The following is a 20,011-nucleotide window of genomic DNA, read 5'->3' as shown; positions in this document are numbered from 1 at the left end:
GGCTAGCATGGTGAAACCCCATCTCTACTAAAAATACAAAAAATTAGCCGGGCGTGGTGGCGGGCGCCTGTAGTCCCAGCTACTCAGGAGGCTGAGGCAGGAGAATGGTGTGAACCCGGGAGGTGGAGCTTGCAGTGAGCCAAGATGGCGCCACTCCACTCCAGCCTGGGCGACAGAGAGAGACTCCGTCTCAAAAAAAAAAAAAAAAAGAAAAAAGAAATGCCACATGACACACATGACATGGAGGGTAAAGAAGGGAGGATTTGGAGTCAGAAAAACTAGATTTAGGCTGGGTGCGGTGGCTCACGCCTATAGTCTCAGCACTTTGGGAGGCTGAGGCAGGAGGATTGGTTGACGCCAGTTCAAGACCAGCCTGGGCAACATAGTGAGACCCTGTCTCTATAAAAAAAAAAAAAAAAGAAGAGAAAAGAAAGAAAAGATAAACTAGATTTAAAAGCTGATTCCTCCCTCGATGGCAAAATCACTGTAGCAGAAATGACTAGTTTTTCCCAATATATGGTGTCCCTCTTTTCACAGAAATGGAGCCTCGAATTTTTACTTGGGCACATGATCATCTGGAATAAAGACCATATTTCCTAGCCTTCCTTGCAATTAGGTGTGGCCATGTGACTAAATTCTGGAGGCAGGGTAGAAATGGTGAGTGCAACTTTCAGCAAGTGTCCTTAAAGGGAAAGGGCAGGCTTTTCTTCCCTCTTTTTATCATCCACCCATTCTTTCATTATGCTGCCTGGAATGAAAATGTGATGGCTGGAGTTCTAGCTGCTATCTTGGATCATGAAGGCAAGGACCACATCCTAGTAATGGCAGAGCAATGGATGGATCCTTGGTCCCTATAACTTTGTGGAGCAGAGCTTACCCCCAGTCTCCAATGGGAAAGAAAAATAAACTCTTATGTTGTTTTAACCACAGCTATTTTGAGTGTCTGTGCATAATCCTAACTGAAACATGCATCGACTCTGGAGCAAAGTCTTTTAAGCTCTCTGAGCCTTGGTGGGTAACCTCATCTGTATAATGGGACTCATAATGCCCACTGCACAGACCTCACAATGTGCTTGGGGAGGGGAATGAGATGATGTTTGTGAAAGCACTGCAAAAACTATTCCTCACTGTGATAATGTTACACCTTTGTTGCTGGGCACCAGGAAAGGCATGATGAGTGGGGGAAGGATTGGGGAAGGAGGGTTGTACAAAAGGATCAGAAATATTTTCCCCCTTCCACAGTGCTTCCTAAAAATTCTGCCTTTCCTATATAACCAATTGTGCCACTGGAGCTCCAAAATTCTGCCTTTCCTATATCCATAGGTCTTGATCTCCCTGGTCTGATTCTTGGTGGTAGAGTAAGACTACGTTAGAGGATTTCTAAGTCTCTGAGAACTTTCATAGTCTGTGATCATCTGACTTTATTAATTCTATACTAGTCAGATTTTTGTGGCAAGGCAATTCAGGATTTTTTATTTTACAACCAATAAAGGCTGGCTCCTTTCTGAATTGTTTACCTGTGGGCAAAGCACTTCTCTTAGCATCAGTGGTAGGACCAGCATGAGTTCACATGGTAGAGGTAGATGGCAGCCAACTTCTGCTTCACCACAGACAGAGGAAAGACAGGGATGTGTTCTTGCTAGCCATTTTGCAAAAGGCACGGGGGATATGCAGTATGTAACAACATTAAAGCTGCTGGGCAGAAGCCACATGCTGACCAGAGCTGGGGGACAACACACCAGTGCCTGCAGATTGGGAAACAACCTAAAATTCTTGGCAACCTTCAGGGAGACTGTACACTCCCCTCACTACCTTGGTAAATAGTGTACTTGTCACAAAGTCCTCCTGTAGACAATCCTCACTGACCCGAAGCTTCACGTCAAGCTAGTTCATGGCTCCCACAGGTTGAGCCAATTCATCTTTGGTTGGAGCCCAACTCTTGTCTTTCAGAAACCCAGTACATTCTCCAGCCATTAGGATTCTCTGAGGATTGGCCTTGACAGGTCAAAAACCAAAGAAAGAAGATGTGTCACTAACAGAGATGATTGGTACAGAAGTGGCCTCCAGGCAAGTGTCATGGGCTTGGTTGGACTTCTCTCTAATCCTTCCATGCTTGGTAGTGTCCTCGACTCACGGAAAGTTCTTTGGCAGCTGTTGACTTGAATTTAACTTCCAAGGAGTCTGGAAATGGGTGGGAATCTGAGAAGAATGGAGTAGAAAAGTTAATAACTTGAGATTAAGCCAAGGGAGGCTGCCCCAACCCCCCTCCTGCCAATTCACCCTTCTCTATCCTTAATCCATTTGGCAGAAGATTTAGAGTGAATAGAGCTGATTATAGTCTAGGAAGGGCAAGTCTCCTCTAAATTCAGAGTAAGAAGGCTCAGGCACAGAATCCAGAGGTCCTTTTCCCAACAGATGATGGGGCTGAGTGGAAAAGTAGGCCCCAGGAGAGAAGAGGATTGGAGCCCTGAGTGAGCAGAAGATGACAGGAGTGCCTACCAATGTCCAGGGAGGATGTCAGATCCTGACCGAGCAATCAGAAGCAGACAGAAGAGGGTAAGCAGGGAATGGGAGCACAGACCCTTGCAAATGCCTCTTGAGCACTAAGGCCCTGGACCAATAGGCCACAGTCTGAGCTTATATCAAGGAAGAGTGAGATGGGCTCTGCTCTCCCTGGAGTGAGCTTGCCTGGTTCTGTGGCTCATGGTTGGCTGGGGTGGCCCAGTTAGCTAAAGTCAGCAAACGTTTCAGAAGCCCTGACTGGGCTGAGTCCCAGCATCTCTAAAGAATTGCACTCTCAGCTCAGCACCAAGGAAACCCACAAAGGACCCCTGCTAGACTGGATGTTTATGTCCCCCCAAAATTCATCTGTTGAAATCCTGACCCTCAATGTGATGGTATTAGCAGGTGGGGCCTTTGGGCGCTGATCAGGTCACAATAGTGGAGCCCTCATGAGTGGGATTAGTGCCCTCATAAAAGAGATCCTAGGGAGCTCCTCACCCCTTCTGCCTTGTAAAGACACAGAGAGAAGGCAGCCATCTATGAACTAGGAAGCAGGCCCTCACCAAACACCAAACCTGCTGACACCTTGATCTTGGACTTCCCAGCCTCCAGAACCATAAGAAATAAATTTCTGCTGTTTTTAGCTTCCAAATTCATTGTATCCTGTTATAGCAGCCTAAACAAACTAAGATAAACCCACACTCCCAAAGGACTTTGAGCTTCCAGAGACCATGACCCAATCTGCCCTGTTCACCACTACACCCCAACCCAATACCTGGTAACAGGGAAGCTATGCAATACATTGAATTGAATTGACTTGAAACTGATCCCAGGAACCCTTCCACTTGCCCATCAGAATATTCTCTCTCATGGTTGCACTTCCCCTACCATAGCTCTCTATTTATTCATATACTTACGCATTCATAAGTCCATACCAATATGCTGAGCAGCTACTATACGAGAGGCACTAAGCTAGGGCCCTCCCCTCTCATGGCAGGTCCAGCTCTCCTCTGTGTCTCTTTACCTATCTTTTGGGGATGCCCATCCATTCTTGGTCGATTGGTAATTGACACTTATTTGCATTTTTTTTTCTTTTTGAGACAGAGTCTCGCTCTGTTGCCCAGGCTGGAGTGCAGTGGTGTGATCTCAGCTCACTGCAACCTCCACCTCCCAGGTTCAAGCGATTGTCATGCCTCAGCCTCCCAAGTAGCTGAGATTACAGGTGCATGCCACCATGCCCAGATAATTTTTTGTATTTTTAGTAGAGACGGGGTTTCACCCTGTTGGCTGGTGTTGAACTCTTGACTTCAGGTGATCAGCCCACCTCAGCCTCCCAAAGTGCTGGGATTACAAGTGTGAACCACTGTGCCCAGCCAACTATTTGCATTTTAAAATAGTCCACTGAAGGTAGAAAATTTATCCAAAGAAATGACTTTCTAATGATGAATGGACAATGGCAGTTGTTGACATTTTGAAGAAGGGTGAAGAGGCCCTAAAATCATGCCTCTTAAATGGAGTAATCTTCTCTGCCTGACATCCATGGGCAGTGGGTCCGGCATTCAGACCCCCATCCCCAGCACCAACACACACATACATTGGACTTGGTTTTCCATGCTTAGGAAAACCAAGCCTGTGCATGCTTAGGACCACAAGCATGTGCACAAATGCCTTTATAAAGAATCATATAAGCAAAGACACCCACCTGAGCACAAATGCTTTCATGAGCCTGCTGTGTGCATGCACCAGAGTGGTCTCTTCTCCTCTCCACCCCTGACCAGTGCTGGGTCTGGTTCCCACTGTAAATGCAGATGCTATGTGATTGACAGCCCAGCCAGGAGCTCACATTCAGTTGGAATCTGAGATACCATTACCATGGCGACCATAGTCCCTTGCAGCTCCGTCATCTTCCATGCTCTGGGGAGTTGAGTGTTATACCTGGGAGACTTTCCTTCTGGAAGCCACACCTTCCTCCAGGAGTGGCTTTTAATTTTCCCCCAAGCTCTTTGGAGAGGTAAAGACTCCTCCCTATGGCTCTCTCTCTGCTAATGATGAGGGCTGTTTTAAGGAGAGTTGTTAGGCTTTAATCAAGCTCTTGGTCTCCCAGAACCTTCCAGCTACTCTCCCGGGGTGTCTGATGCCATGTCTAGCCAAAGAGAGTAAGAAATTCACCCCTTTCTCTACAGATAGCCCTACAGCTGAAGCTATAACTACAGAGTCTTTGAAGCAAAAGGGTACAGTCCCGCTGAAGTTCATTGCTCAGATCCCCTTTGCTATGAACTGAATATTTGTGTCTCCCAAAATTTATATGTTGAAATTCTAACCTCCAATGTGATGGTATTAGGAGGTGGGGCCTTTGGGAGATGAGTAGGTTCTGAGAGTGGAGCCCTCATGAATGATATTACTGGCCTTATAAAAGAGGCCCCTGAGCGCACTGTCATCCCTCTGCCGTGTGAGGTCACAGTGAGAAGATGGCTCTCTATCAACCAGGAAGTGGGCCCTCACCAGATACTGAATCTGACAGTGCCTTGATCTTGGGCTTTCCAGCCCCTGGAACTTTGAAAACTAAATTTCTGTTGTCTATGAGCTGCCCAGTTTATGGTATTTTGCCACAAGACAAAATACCAGAAAACACCCCTCTTCAAGACTGAGGAACTTCTTCCTTCAGCTGCCTGGGTGTTGGCTGCTGACAGCTCTCAGCTGTGTCTCTCTCCAGGAATTGCCTGCAGTCCAGGAAAGCTGCCTCACACAAGGTCACAGCCCCTCCCTGGGGGCAGACCACATTCAATGATTGACCTATTGGGGGTACAAAGAACCGGCCCCCTTGCCTCAACTGGGGACATCTCTGGTTCAACGGTTCCCAGGGAATCATGGGAGACCTTCTGTTATGACTGCATCACAGCTCAACTCCTTCTCTGCCCAACCTTGCTTCTCTCATTGTCTTATAGGTGTTGACCTAAAGGCACACCCCCAGAAACCACTCGCTCAGAAATCTCCATCTCAGAGCCTGTTTTCAGACAATCTAAGGCAAGACAAGGGGTCTGAAGCTCATCTAACACAGCCCTTTTCTTGACAGATGAGGAAACTGAGGTCCATGAGGGGCTAGAGACCCTTGAGATCACTCTGGGAGTTGATGTGAGATTTGGTTCTCAGATCCAGACTCTCAGCATTGGAATAGATCTTCAGGGTCCCCTGATCTAAGCAGGAAAAATATATATACTTAAGAGGATACTGGGTAAATTTCATAGCATTGATGGCAGAAGTAATGGAGTTAAATAACCAGAAATGGACCCTAGTGGCCATTGCCACAATGTGCTGCCCTGGGAACTCCGTCTTGCTGATGCTACCACCACCAATGAGAAGATCCCATGTGGCCCCTACTTCTGGGTGTCAAGAGCTCCTGATGCAAAGTTGCCATGGGAGCCTGGATTGGTGCCCATATCCCAGCACAAAGAAGGCCGGGGAAGGTAGGAACCTGGAAGGACCAGTTGAGTCAGCCAGACTGTAGATCAGTGGCTCTCAACTCTGCCGGTGCATTTAAAGTACCTGGGAGCTATAAGAGATCACATTGCCCAGGCCACACGGCAGACCAATTAAATCGGAACTTCTGAAGGTGGGACCCAGGCATAGTATTTTCTTTCTTTCTTTCTCTCTCTCTTCTCTCTCTTTCTTTCTCTCTCTTTCCTTCCTTCCTTCTTTTTTTTTTGAGGTGGAGTCTCGCTTTGTTGCCCAGGCTGGAGTGCAGTGGTGCAATCTCGGCTCACTGCAACCTCCACCTCCCAGGTTCACGCCATTCTCCTGCCTCAGCTTCCTGAGTAGCTGGGACTACAGGCGCCCGCCACCACGCCTGGCTAATTTTTTGTATTTTTAGTAGAGATGGAGTTTCACCGTGTTAGCCAGGAGGGTCTCGATCTCCTGACCTCGTGATCCGCCCCCTTCAGCCTCCCAAAGTGCTGGGATTACAGGCGTGAGCCACCGCGCCTGGCCTCCAGGCATAGTATTTTCTTTAAAGCTCCCTGGGTGGTTCTGATGAAAGGCTGAGAACCTCTGCTTCAGGAGAAACCAATGATGAAAGGACTGGGGTCTCTCTCCCCTTTGCTCCTTGTGGTATTAGATAGGGTTTGATCAGGGAAGAAGGACCACTGTGAGGGATGCAGAATAAGGGATTTATTGTGGAATTGGGCCTGACACAATTGTGGGAGCTGGTGAAGCCACCTATGTAAGAATGCTAACCTGTGTCTGATGGTGGACTTGAAGCAGGAACAGCAGTTGAGATGAAAGGATGGACACAGTTGTAGCTACCTACTGCTGTGTAACAAATTACCCCCAAATTTTTCAACTTGACACAATGAACATTTATTATCTCACATAGCATCTGTGGGTCAGGAATCCAGGAGCAACCTGGCTGGATGGTTCTGACTCAGGCTTTCTCATGAGGTTCCAGTCAAAGTGCCAGCTGGGGCCTGTGGTTATCTGCAGGTTTGACTGGGGCGGGAGGGTCTGCTTCCAAGATGGCTTCCTCACATAGCTATTGACAGGAGGTTTCAGTTCCTTGCTGGCTATTGGCCAAAGGCCTCAGTTTCTCACCACATGGGCCTTTCCATAGGGCTCCTCCTGATATAGGAGCTGGTTTTCCCCACATCAAGTGATCTCAGAGAAAAGAGAGAGGGAGAGAATGAGACCAAGACAGAAACCACAGTGTCTTTTTTTTTTTTAAGATGAGACGGGGTTTTACTCTGTCACCCAGGCCGGAGTGCAGTGGTATGATCATGGCTCACTGCAGCCTCAGCCACCTGGGCCGCCTACCATGAACGTATGTAGACAGGTGCAAAGACAAACTGGAACCCATGTGACAGCTGGAATCCACATTTGACCATCTCCAACCTTGATGGTATGGGTAACCTGCAAGAAAAGCTGGCATCCTTTGCAATTACTGCACATGCACCCAGAATCTGGAGATGCTGAAGAAGATCCAAAAAGAGCTGTTGCAGCTACAGGCCTGGCTGATGCTACAGGCCTGGCTGATTCCCCAGGCCAAAAAGGAGAGCCAGGAGATCAGCAACAACACATCTGAGCTGCAACAGCGCCTGGCTCACACAGAGCTGCAGAGTGTGACAGTGGCCGCTGCTTCACCTCTGCCTTCCAAATCTCACACAAATGTCTCCTGTGGCCAACTCTAACTTGGAACCATGCAGAGAACTGAATTCTGGGAAATGTAGTTCTAGCTTAACTAGTGGCCACAGCACACAGGCATCACAGGGCTGGAGTATGTGTTAGGGGATGAGTGCAGCAAATGAAAGAGGTGGTCATAATAAGCTCTCTGTTCTTTCTCCTTGGACTAGGGACAGGAAGAGCAAAGACAGCCATGGATGAGCCAGAGTCTGACAGTGAGAAACTCAAGAGACTCCAGTCTTCTCAGAACCTCAGGGAAAACTCCAACTCCCTCTCCAGGCCCATGACAAACCCACTCTGGATTAAGCTTCTTTCATCTGTAGTGGGGAGGGAGGGAGTAAAGGCTGGGAGATGGACGATTTGAAAGCTGATTTCCTGGAGTAGACAATAATTTATCCCCACTTCACATCAATACCTCTAGACAGCCAGATGAAAATCATGCTGTAATGTTCTGGTCGTATCTAATAGCATGGCCACTCATACTGTTAGTTTGATATCTCTTGACTCCAAAGTGTCTCACACAAATGGTCCCCAGGCAGTGGCAAAATGGCACAAACGATGACACATAGGACCTGCCCAGTCAGTCATTTCAGGAATACCCAAATATTTTCCCTATTTGTCTGCTCCTGCCTAAAATTCTGTCACTGCATTAACCTGCTAGCCAAAACCTTGCATTTGCTTTTGCATGCAACTATCTCTAAGGGTCACGTTTTAGATTATTATCAGTCATTTATATTCCTTAGTGCAAATGAAGTCTGAAGAGGTCTGCTGATGTAGGGGATAAGTGAGGGCGCATTAGGCACTTGACAGGGACAGATGAACGAGAATGGAGAGCTTTGAAAAGGGTGTGTGAAAGAAATAACCTGTGTGTTCACCAAATCCTGTTTCATTTTCTTCTTTCTGGGGGTCACAGAAAGACTACCTTTCCCGGCCTCCCTTGGAGTTAGACTGAGGTCATGTGATTGGATTCTGGCCAATGGGAAGTAAGTTGAAATAATATAAAGCACTCCTCCCAGGCCTTGCCATTAAAAACATCTTGTGCAACCTTCCCACTGTACTGTCACCTTCAGCAGCAACCATAGAGGCTATGTATTAAGATGGTAAGATAGATGCACCTGGGATCCCAGATTCACCTAGTGGCTGAGTGCTGCCCTGAGGAGTGGCCCAACTCATCAGTGGGGGCTAATTTGTTTCTGCAGCATAGTCTATCCTACCCAGGCTAATACAAAAATTGCTGCCAGATGGCCAGGCACAGTAACTCACGCCTGTAATCCCAGCACTTTGGGAGACCGAGGTGGGCAGATCATTTGAGGCCAGGAGTTTGAGACCAGCCTGACCAACATGGTGAAAGCCTGTCTCTACTTAAAAAAAAAAAAAAAAAAATTGCAGGGTGTGGTGGCGGGAGCCTCTAGTCTCAGCTACTAGGGAGGCTGAGGCAGGAGAATCGCTTGAACTCGGGAGGCAGAGGTTGCAGTGAGCGGAGATCATGCCACTGCACCCCAACCTGGGCAACGACAGAGGGAGACTCCATCTCAAAAAAAGAAAAAAAAAAGGTTGGTAAAATAGTGATCCATGTTACACAGTGACAAAAATTCAGTCAAGCTTCCACTTGCAAATAGTAAGTGATGGGAAAACCTTTGAGTGGCAAAAATGACTTAAGGTAAAGATTAGACTAAGGGTATGGCCTTCCCCCAAATTTCCAGAAGCCTAAAGGTAACTTTGATTAAATGCAGGGGGCAAGGTATACGGATGAGAAAGCAAAGACATATAGCAGATATGAAAACTATATCTTGAAAAGAACTTTGGATGTGGTCTTTGGCATGTGGAAGTGACTATAAGCAAATACATCAATGGCCCATTACATTTTTAGGGGAATTGTATAGCCAAAGAAACCTTGAGCCTAGACCTCAAAAAAAAGTCTTTCTTGAGTCAGCTATGAAGATAAAATAATCCTTGGGCTCCCACCATGTTCAAAAAGTAGACTAAGAAAGTTCTATGACCCTCAAGGAGGGATTTCCTCAGTATCCATTTAGATATAGCCAAAAAATATTATAGGAAAAAAGAACTAGAGGGCAGAGCCATGACTTGGGGAGAAAATGAACAAAGAAACTCCTCCAGGAGAAAACTTGGGGTCTAATAAGGAAATCTTAGCTGGGTGTGGTGGCTTACGCCTGTAATCTCAGCATTTTGGGATGCCGAGGTAAGTGGATTGCTTGAGCCTAGGAGTTCAAGACCAGCCTGGGTAACATAGCAAGACCTTCTCTCTACTTAAAAAAAAAAAAAAATTAGCCAGGTTTGGTAACACGTGACTGTGGTTCCAGCTTCTTGGGAGGCTAAGGTAAGAGGATCACTTGAGCCCAGGAGATGAAGGCTGCAGTGAGCTATGATAGTGCCACTGCACTCCAGCCTGGGCAACAGAGCTAGATCCTGTCTCAAAAAAATAAAAAGAAAAAAGAAATCTTCTTCACCGTCAGGGCATGAGGCCTTCACAGTAGGATCTGAGAATGACTATGGACTAGTGACTGCTGTATGTCTCCCATCCCTCCCCTTTCAGAACGCTAGCGTTTGCTGTGGTATCCTGCCCCTGCTCCACCATTGGATTGAGGCTGAAGGTGTAGGGTGCTGATAACTTGTTTTGTTTGGTTCATAGGTTGCCAGACTAGAAGAAGCAACATCTAGACCTGAAGGTAGGACTATTATGCATCATCCAATGTTTAAGGGTCTATAGGGGGTAAGAAAATGCCCTAAAACTTAGCTTAGACAACAAAGATTTATAATTTCTCACAATTCCCTGGGTCAGGAATTCAAGCAGGGCTTAGCTGAGTGGATCTTCTGCTCTACCTGCCATCGGCTGGAATCATTTGCGCAGCCACATTTAGCTAGTGACTAGGCCAGGAAAACTTCACTCACATGTCTGATCCTCTTCCACATGGCTTCTGTCTCCACATGGCAGGTCATCCTTCAGTAGCCTAAGCTTAGTTTCCTTATGGCATGCCCTGGCTTCTCAGAGTACAAAGGCCGAAACTCCAGCCCTTCTTAAGGTCTAGGCCTAGAACTGACATGGCATCACTTCTGCAATATACTACTGGCCAAAGTGAGTCAGAAGGCCAGCCTGGATTCAAGGGGAGAGGAAATAGACTTCACCTCTGGCCGGGTGGAGTAGCACACATGCACAAAGGTAAAAGAAATTGTTGAAAGCCCTATGTGGATACTACAATGCCCAGAGATCCTGACCTTTGAGCTGGGATGTAGTTGCTGGATAAGACTTTGGGTTAAATTTCTTGGGAATGGGATGAGCATGTTATTTTAGGGGAAAGAAGAATAAAAAAAAATGAACCAAATATTTGTAAGCCAGAGGACTGATGGTGGTAGTTTATTATAAAAATACCCACCCATTGTGGCAGATTTTATTTTCCTAAATGCTTCAACACTATCTCCCATCTCATGTATTCTTCATATAATATGACCTTGACACTCCCCAATCAACATATAGAGTTTATGTCATCACTCCAGGAACCTGGATGCAACTTTGTGACTGCCTCAATTAATGAAGTATGGCAGAAGTGACTCTGTGTGATTCCCAAGGTCAGGCCATAAAAGGAGACACAGCTTCAATCTGGCTCTCTCTCAGGACACAGGCTTTTTTGGGAGCCCTGAGCCTGGCTTCCCCGAAAGCTCCATGCTGAAGAGACCACACAGAGTGACTACATAGAGGTAAATGCCTGAAGGGCTCCAGTTGTACCATCCTCCAGCCTCCAGCCACTTGGGTCTTCCCAGGCCAGGAGGTAGATATGTGAGTGAGCTAGCCTTGGATGATTTCAACCTCCAGCCTTTGAGATGCCCCAGTTGACGCCAAGTGGAGCAGAGATGAGCTGACCCTGCTGAGCCCTGTGCAATTGTAGAGCCCCGAAAAAAATATATGTTGGTGTTTTAAGCCACTAAGTATTGGCATGGCTTATACTACAGCAATAGATAACTAATATATAGTAAGTCCTCATAGTCATGTGTTTGATATTTGCAAATTCTACTTACTAAAATTTATATGTAACCCCAAACTGATTACTTAAGACGCTTTTGTGGTCATTTGTGGACACATGCAGAGTGGCAACAAGTTTAAGTCACCCAATGTGCATATTCCCAGCTGAGGTCTATAGGTAAACAGCCTGTGGCATGGCAGGTGTGGCACCATCTTGAAGCAAAACCGTCATGTTGACAGATGTTGACTCCTGCATACCAAGGTGTTTCCGTAGCATAGATAACATCCCATAAAGATGCGTATATAACCCAGTAGTCACAAGTCTCACAAGAAAGTCTGAGGTGTGACCAGCTACACATTTTGCCATAAAAGCTTGCTAAATACAGGATATTTTCCGGAGGGTGGGTGCGGCGATCTACTGTCTCATGACCACCTGAGACATCACTTCTGTTTGTAAGTCCCTATTAAATGTTTCTTTCTGAGAAACTGGATTTGTCAGCCTCTTTTTTCGGTCTCTCAGCTCCCCTGGCCTTTGGGGATAGATTTGCATATACCTGCTCACCGAGGAACACGGTCAAACAAGGTGACACTCTGCTTTCTTGTTTCAGCTCTTGTATTTTTTTCTAATTTGGTCTTAAGGTCTGTCTCATGAGAGTGGCTATAAACTCTCAGTCTGCCTTAACAGGGTTCCAGGGAATTTGGTCGTGGATGTTTACAGTGTGCTTTTCACAGGACACTTCTTTATCTTGGCAGACAGCCTAATTCTTAAGTGTCCAAACCATGACCAGGTGTCCCTCTCACAGGAAAGTTGTTTATAGTCGCAGGCGCCCTTGTGGCTCTTGTCTGACCTGTGTCGAGTCTATTCCTGCCAAGAGAGCCACTCTCTAGGAGAACGCCAACCGGGAAAGAAGTTAGGTCCGGGTGTGTGGGTGGGGTGAGACACAGAGAGGCAGCTCCACAGAACGCGCAAAATACCAGAGGCAGCATCTTCTTTACAGATTCCTCTCAGGGCCAGCAAGAAGGAAGGAACCCTCTGGGCCATCCATGCTTAGCCAGCAGGTGGGGAGCAAGATAGAGAGTGAGGGACCTGTGGGCCTAGGCCTTTATCGGGGTCCAGGCATTCCCAGGCCGCTTTCCCGTGGGGAGTTCTCATCAGTGGGTTGAAAGCCAGCAGGCAGGAGTTCCATGGAGGCACGCTGTGACTGAGAAGGGGTCGCTGTGGCAGATCCGTGCGGCCCATGTAGAGTGTGGGGTGTCAGTGGGGCCAGTCAAGTAGGTTGTATCTAGCTGTCCCGTAGGGAGGTGGTCACCAGCAGGTGACTGTATAAGGTAGATATCTGGATCGACCACATTGAGGAACAGGAAGGAGATGGAGAACAGGAAACTGTGTCAAGGGTGACTAAGCCCTGCTTCTGGTATGAGAAAGTCCAATATATTCAAAATGATGCTGAGACAACATATTATAAAAATTCACTACAACTCCCATACCATAAACATGGCCTTTTTGAGACCTACCTAATGCCCCCTTTTTCACATTTTTGTCCTATTTCCTGGTGATTTCACTGTTTAAAATGGCCCCCAAGTGTAGTATTGAAGGGCTGTCTAGTGTTCCTAGGTGCAACGGGACTGTGATATGCCTTACAGAGAAAATACATGATATATACATGTAATTCATTAAGGCATGAGTTATAGTGCTGTTATGTTCAATGTTAATGAACCATCTATGTATTAATTAAGATGTCTTTAAACAGAAACACACATAAAACAAGATTATGTATTGATTGGCTGATTATAATGTGATCAGAGGCTTGTAGGAACTTAACCCTATACAGCCCTTAGGAGCAATGGTTCCATATTAGTTAATTCAGTATTCACTGAGACTTTATGGACCATAACTACCGTGAATAATGTGAATTGACTGTGCCTATATTCAGCTCTCTTTTTTTCTGAGTACATGAGAACGCCACACTTTCCAGGACTCTTGCAGGTAGGTGAGACCATATGACTGGCTCTATCCAATGAAATGTGAGTAGCAGGCCAAAGCATTTAAGAACCAGTGTACTAAGCAGAGATTGCACCACAGCACTCCAGCCTGGCAACAGAGCGAGACTACATCTCACACACACAAAAAAATAAATAAATAAAAAGAACCAGTGTACTGTCTTCAATCTTTTGCTATCCCTAAAGTGGCAAACATGAAGGGCTTGCATTAAAATGATGGCATCCTCAACTGAAGGGAGCCTGGATCCTTGAGTTACTGGAAAGAGAAGAGCCCTAGCAACCTGCATCACACTTTATGAGCAAGAAATCAGTTATTATTGTGTTCAGCCACTAAGATGTTAAGGGTTTATTTGTTGTTGCAGCCTAGCCTGCAAACAACCTCAAAACCTGTCTAAAATAGGGTTTGAGAAGCCCAAAAGTGTGCTGAATAGGATCTTCTAGTCAGCTAAATTGTATGCATATGTGCATGCCTGTGTGCACATGTAGCTCTTAACTATCAGTATGCTCTAGCAAGTGGTAATCTATTTGATGATAGGGCCACAAGTGCTAACATGCAAAAGTTAGCTTTCCTTTCCACTCCCATCTCTCCTCAAAAAAAAAAAAAAAAAAAGAGAGAGAGAGAAGTGGTAGGTGGCTTAGATCTATTTATTCATTGGTTTAAAAGAAAATAGGCCAGATGAGGTGGCTCACACCTGTAATCCCAGTACTTTGGGAGGTTGAGGCGGGCAGATCGCTGAGTTCAAGAGTTGGAGAAGGCCTGGGCAACATGGTGAAAATCCGTCTTTAAAAAAAAAATACAAAAAGTTAGCTGAGTATGGCTAATAAACCATAAAGAGTTGATTTGCTCTAAAGGAAGTCCAGAGGGGAACCAGTAAGTTAAACTCTTCATCATTCACTCCAATCAGCATCACATCTGAAGCACCAGTCTAGTAAATACGTTTCACAAATGTGTCTACTCATGTGATGAAGTATGCCCTATACACACATTGACTCACTTATATTGGGTATTACAGCCTTTTGCCTATTTTCCTGTCAATGAGGAAATTACCAAACACACAGTGGTAACAAGGGAAGAAACGTTCCAGAACACTGGGTATGAAAAGTAGCAATAGTTTCATCTAAGTTGGAGAAGATGAAGAAAGGAACCAGAAATGGGTTTGTGAAAAGAGATAATGCCAATGAAAAGGGGCTCGCGACAGAGCTGCTGGGACCTCCCTGGCATCTGGGTCGGCCGCATCTACACTCAGGGCCTGCAGTCAGGTCGCGTTAGCACGTGGCTAAGGGATTCTCCCAGAGAGAGGCAAAAGGCCAGAAACCCCTGCACGGGGAATATGGTTGATCTGGCCAAGACGTGGAAATGTGCTTGTTCATCTGCATACCAAGTGATTCCTTGTGCAACTTCCTCTGTTTCCGTAGAAAGAATATGGGCTCTAGAGTCAGGCAGCCCTGTTTAAGTCCAGCTTCTTCTCTTACCCACTGTGTTTCCTTAAGCAAGTCACTTCACCTCTCTGGGTCTCACACTGGTGAGTGGAAATAACAATACCTGCTCACAGGGTTCTGGAATAATTAAATGAGATCACAAGCATCTGGCACAGAGCAGCCGGTTGCCTCCCCCTCTCATGCATATCCAGAAAGAGTCTCCCACTGTTTGAAATATTTTGTGCCACAGTAGCTGTGGGAGGCTGAGTAGTGCCCCTCTCCCTGTTACGCCTGCAAAAACGAAACAGAACCCCAATCTCCCCCCAGAAAAATCAATGATGTCCATGTGCTAATGCCTGGAACGTGTGATACCTTATATGACAAAATAAAAAAGACTTTGCAGATGTGATTAAGTTAAAGGTCTTGAGATGAGGGCATTATCCTGGATTATTTGGGTAGACTCTAAATGCCATCACAAGTGCCCTCATAAGAGAAAGGCAGAGGGAGAGTATAGAGAGGAGAAAAGAAGGCCATGTATGTGACCACAGAGGCAGAGAAGGGAGTGCTGCAGCCATAAACCAAGGAAGGCTGGCAGTCACCAGGAGCTGGAGGAGGCAAGGAACGGATTCTCCCCTAGAGCCTCCTGAAGTAGCTTGGCCCTATGGCCACCTTGATTTCAGCTCAGTGACAATGATTTGGGGCTTCCGGCTTCCAAAACTGTGAGCCGTCAAGTTTGTGGTAATTTGTGGCAGCAGCCACAAGAAACAAATGCAGTGGCTGACTGAGTCTGTGACCCCAACAAGAGAGTTAAGAAAGGAAAGATCTGTGTTCCAAGGCCACCCTCGGAAAAGAAAGCCCTTTGGTCCCTTGGGTAGAGGCTGCAGAAACACCAAGTCCTTCCAGCTAGGGTTGCCCTGGGTGGTCTTGTCAACTCACACTCACACTAACTCCTTGAACTTTGATCCTCACAGGAGGTGTCCAGGCAAGGATACGAGGAAAATTAGTATCATTTGCTTCTCCACTTCCGGCACAAACGCTCCCTCACCTGGGAAGGCAGGAACAGCCTGGACCAACTGTCTGAGGCCCTAGAATCAAGCACCTGAAAACGATCTCCCAGAGCTGCTCTCGGGCTGCATCAAGGGTACCTAGGGGAGGACAGATCCTGTGCAAGGAAGCATGGGGCATTCCCCCAGCCTGGGGTTAACAGCCCTCACCAACTTCTCAGGGATGCTATGAGAGTTAATGATTGTGAAGTGCACTCACTGCCACAGAAACGCTCAGCTGTGTGAAATGACTCACCCACGATCTTGGCCTGGAAAAAGTAGACCTATTGAAGACTAATGACATTGCTACATTTTCATTGTGGGTGCCAGAATGCATTGGAGTGGCTTCCCAGGCCACAAGTTTTCAATTTGCAGCACAAGCAGACCCTCCAATGTGGCACTTCTCTGCTCTCCTTGCATGTGACTTGGTTCGCTTTTAGTTGGTCTCTGTGGCTGCCAGTTGTCACCTCCACAATGCCCCATCCCCAACCTTCCCAGAAGCCCAGAGTGTTCAAGGCTGTCTGTTGGCAGAGGCCTAGGACACGTGGACACCCAGAGCTGAACACCATTGACTGCTAGGCAAATGAGACTTCAGTTTCAAAAGAGATCATATTCCAGTGGACGAATATCCCAGACATATTCCCGTGGACAAAGACGTCCATCTCATCTAAGGACACATGTCAAAGAAGATATTATTAATTCCCCTCCATTAGAGAGATCGCTGGTTCGTCACCCAATCCATTTCCCCTTCCTTTTTGGCACAGAGCTAGACTACGTTTCCCAGTCTCCCTTGCAGCCAAGTGTGGCCATGAGACTGCATTCTGGCCAATAGAAGGCAGGCAGATATGATGAGTGGCCTGGCCTATAGACCCTCTCCTCACCCCATCATGCTATTCTCCGCTCTCTTTCTTCCCCTCCCCACCAGTTGGCTGTCAATCTTTAGGGCAACCTTGGAAATAGGTGACCAACTGTACCAACTTGCCAGGAACTGTCCCAATTTTAACACTGAAAGTCTGCCCTCTGGGAAACCCCTCAGTCTGAGACAAATTTGAAAGGCACCTGTGACAGATGGCAGAGCCTCCCTCAGCCCAGGTCCTTGAATGGATGCCTGGAGCAGGGCACTCCCCACTTCCCCAGCCAACCCCACCCCACCGCCCACCCCCCACCCCCACCAATCACCAATACACCTATTTTGAACTTTATGTGGTTGAGAAATAAACTGAGATTTGCTACTATATGTGGTACCACAGCTAGTGTAACCTTAACTGATCCACCATCTAATATTTTTGGAGAAACACAAAAATATTCTATGTTCCCCAGCTACTATTTTAAGAAGATGGATCCCAGTTATAAATAGGCAGACTATCTGGGATAGTCCTGGTTCATACTTGTTGTCTAGCATTATTATTATTATTATTACTATTATTATTATTTGAGATGGAGTCTCACTCTGTCATCCAGGCTGGAGTGCAGTGGCACAAGCTCAGCTCGCTGCAACCTCTGCTTTCCAGGTCCAAGCGATTCTCGTGCTTCAGCCTCCCGAGTGGCTGGGATTATAGGCATGTGCCACCACACCCAGCTAATTTTTGTATTTTTAGTAGAGACGGGGTTTCATCATGTTGGCCAGGCTGGTCTCAAACTCTTGACCTCAAGTGATCTGCTCGCATTGGCCACCCAAAGTGCTGGGACTACAGGTGTGAGCCACTGCGCCTGGCCTGTCTGGCATAATTATTAATAGCATCTCCCTTTTACTCTCAAAACCCTCCCTCTTTGCGCAACATCTAGCATGGTTATAGATAATTTGCAGTGTGAATGCATCCCTAAAATGTTGTAAAAAATTGTTAATTGAATTCTATTTTAAATGCAATTATGTAGGAAAGAACTTTTCTGTAATAAAAGTAATCACCTCTAAACTCAACTATCAGAATATTGGATTTTCTTTGTGTTAGATACACTGTATCCATTACTTAGAACTGTCCTGAAATCTAGATTTCTTACAGACTTTGTGTTTAGAGAATTGTTGTTCATCTAGTAATTTAGGTCTTTTCAACCAATCGATCAATCAAAAATTCTATCTGTTGAGTGATCCATCCAGACAGTGGAATATTATTATACAATAAAAATAAATTAGCTATCAAGCCACAAAAAGATATCACTGAGTGAAAGAAGTCAGTCTGAAAAGGCTACATGCTGCATGATTCCAACTACATGACATTCTGGACAAGTCAAAATTAGGGGCTGGGCACGGTGGCTCATGCCTGTAATCCCAGCACTTTGGGAGGCCAAGGTGGGTGGATTACCTAAGGTCAGGAGTTCGAGACCAGCCTGGCCAACGTGGTGAAACCCTGTCTCTACTAAAAATACAAAAAATTAGCTGGACTTGGTGGCAGGCGCCTGTAATGCCAGCTATACAGGAGTTTGAGGCAGGAGAATTGCTTGAACCCGAGAGGCGGAGGTTGTAGTGAACCGAGATCACGCCATTGCACTCCAGCCTGGGCGACAAGAGAGAAACTCCATCTCTAAACAAAGCAAACAAACAAACTAGGGAGACAGCAAAAAGATCAGTGGTTGCCATGGGTTCAGTGGGGAGGGAGGTAGGGAGATGAATAGGTGGATCACAGGGGATATTTAGGGCAGTGAAACTATTATGTATGATAGTATAGTGCATTTGGAAAAACCATAGAACATACAACACCCAGAGTAGATCTTAATGTAAACTGTGGCCTTTAGTAAACAACAATGTCACTCATGCAATATATTAATAATAGGAGAAACTGAGGTAGGGGACACAGGAACTCCCTGTACTTTCTGTACCATTTTTCTATAAACTGAAAACTTCTTTAAAAATAATTTTTTAAAAAACCTGAAAATTAAGGGAAAAAAAAAGCCTACATTTGTTGAGCTCCCACAAAAGATACATAGGATATGGCTACAGTCCCAGGGGACAGACGTTCGGCTGCCGGAAGGTGCAGCCCTGCAATGGAGGACAGGCTGTCTCCCAGGGTGGACGGACAGACACGTGAAGTGTGAAGGTGCCAGGGCAGATGGCCAAGGGAAATGTCCTCGGTGCAGTGGGGATTAGGGCCTGGAGCACCGCCTCGAAGGGGAACTGGTGAGGTGGATTTGGGGTTGAGGTCTAAGAACAAAGCCCTCCTCAGGGCCAGGGTATGGGAGAGGTGGAGGGAGGAGGGCCCAGGCATACCCGGGAGGCTGGACCCTCCCCCACCCCCAACCCCTCCCCACCTCAGGGAGTCAGGCCACACGCGAACAATCCAAACAGGAGGCTGCGGGGGCCCCAGCTGGACGCTGCTTCGCACAGTTAAGGGAGAACACATCCAAAGCAAATACTTGCAATATTCAGAGCTTTCAGATGGCCATGTTTTATTCATACACATTAGCATGGGGTCTGCAGGCCCCTGAAGTCTGAAAGAAATTAGAAAATCACACTGTCAGGGCTAGAAGAGGCCTGGGGAGTGAGCTAATCCAGGCCTTCTTTTTGCAGAAGAGGAAATTGAGGTCCACAGAAGGAAGCGACCTGAGGCTGCATACAGAAAAAGAGAACCAGGCGGGGCCTGGGGTTCCCCCACATGCCAGCTTCTGCCCCTTTCCTTCTTCCTTTCCTCTCTCCCTCCCTTCCTCCTTCTTTTCCTTCCTTCCTTCCTCTTTTCCTTCCTTCCTCCCTCCCTCCCTCCCTTCCTCCCTTCCTTTTCTGCCTGCCACTGGTCTCCCTTCCGGCTGGTAACTTGTGTGGGTGCGTACTTTGTGCTACTTTCTGGGCAAGGCCAGGGGCTCCTGCTGCCTGTCCTCAAACCCTCTGGAGGTTGAGAACAATCTGAAGCCACAAAGTCTGCCCAGGCCTTGGAAAATCCAAGGCCTGCTCCTGGGTTGTTAGAGGACCTCA

The 20,011-nt window shown here is 46.7% G+C and overlaps 1 long non-coding RNA gene across 1 annotated transcript in view; it reads right to left on the bottom strand.

Moving 5' to 3' along the window:
* Positions 1-451: 451 nt before the first annotated feature.
* The window catches only part of LOC105373182 (uncharacterized), an 82,002-nt gene continuing 62,442 nt past the window's right edge, over positions 452-20,011 (bottom strand). Inside the window, exon 3 of the long non-coding RNA XR_001755830.1 lies at positions 452-2,199. This is a non-coding gene — a long non-coding RNA (uncharacterized LOC105373182). The remainder of the gene's footprint in view (positions 2,200-20,011) is intronic.

This window comes from Homo sapiens, chromosome X, assembly GCF_000001405.40.
Source record: "Homo sapiens chromosome X, GRCh38.p14 Primary Assembly".
Taxonomy (NCBI): Eukaryota; Metazoa; Chordata; class Mammalia; order Primates; family Hominidae; genus Homo; species Homo sapiens.
The sequence above is the reverse complement of the archived record's forward strand: the minus strand, read 5'-3'. Positions and strand labels throughout refer to the sequence as shown.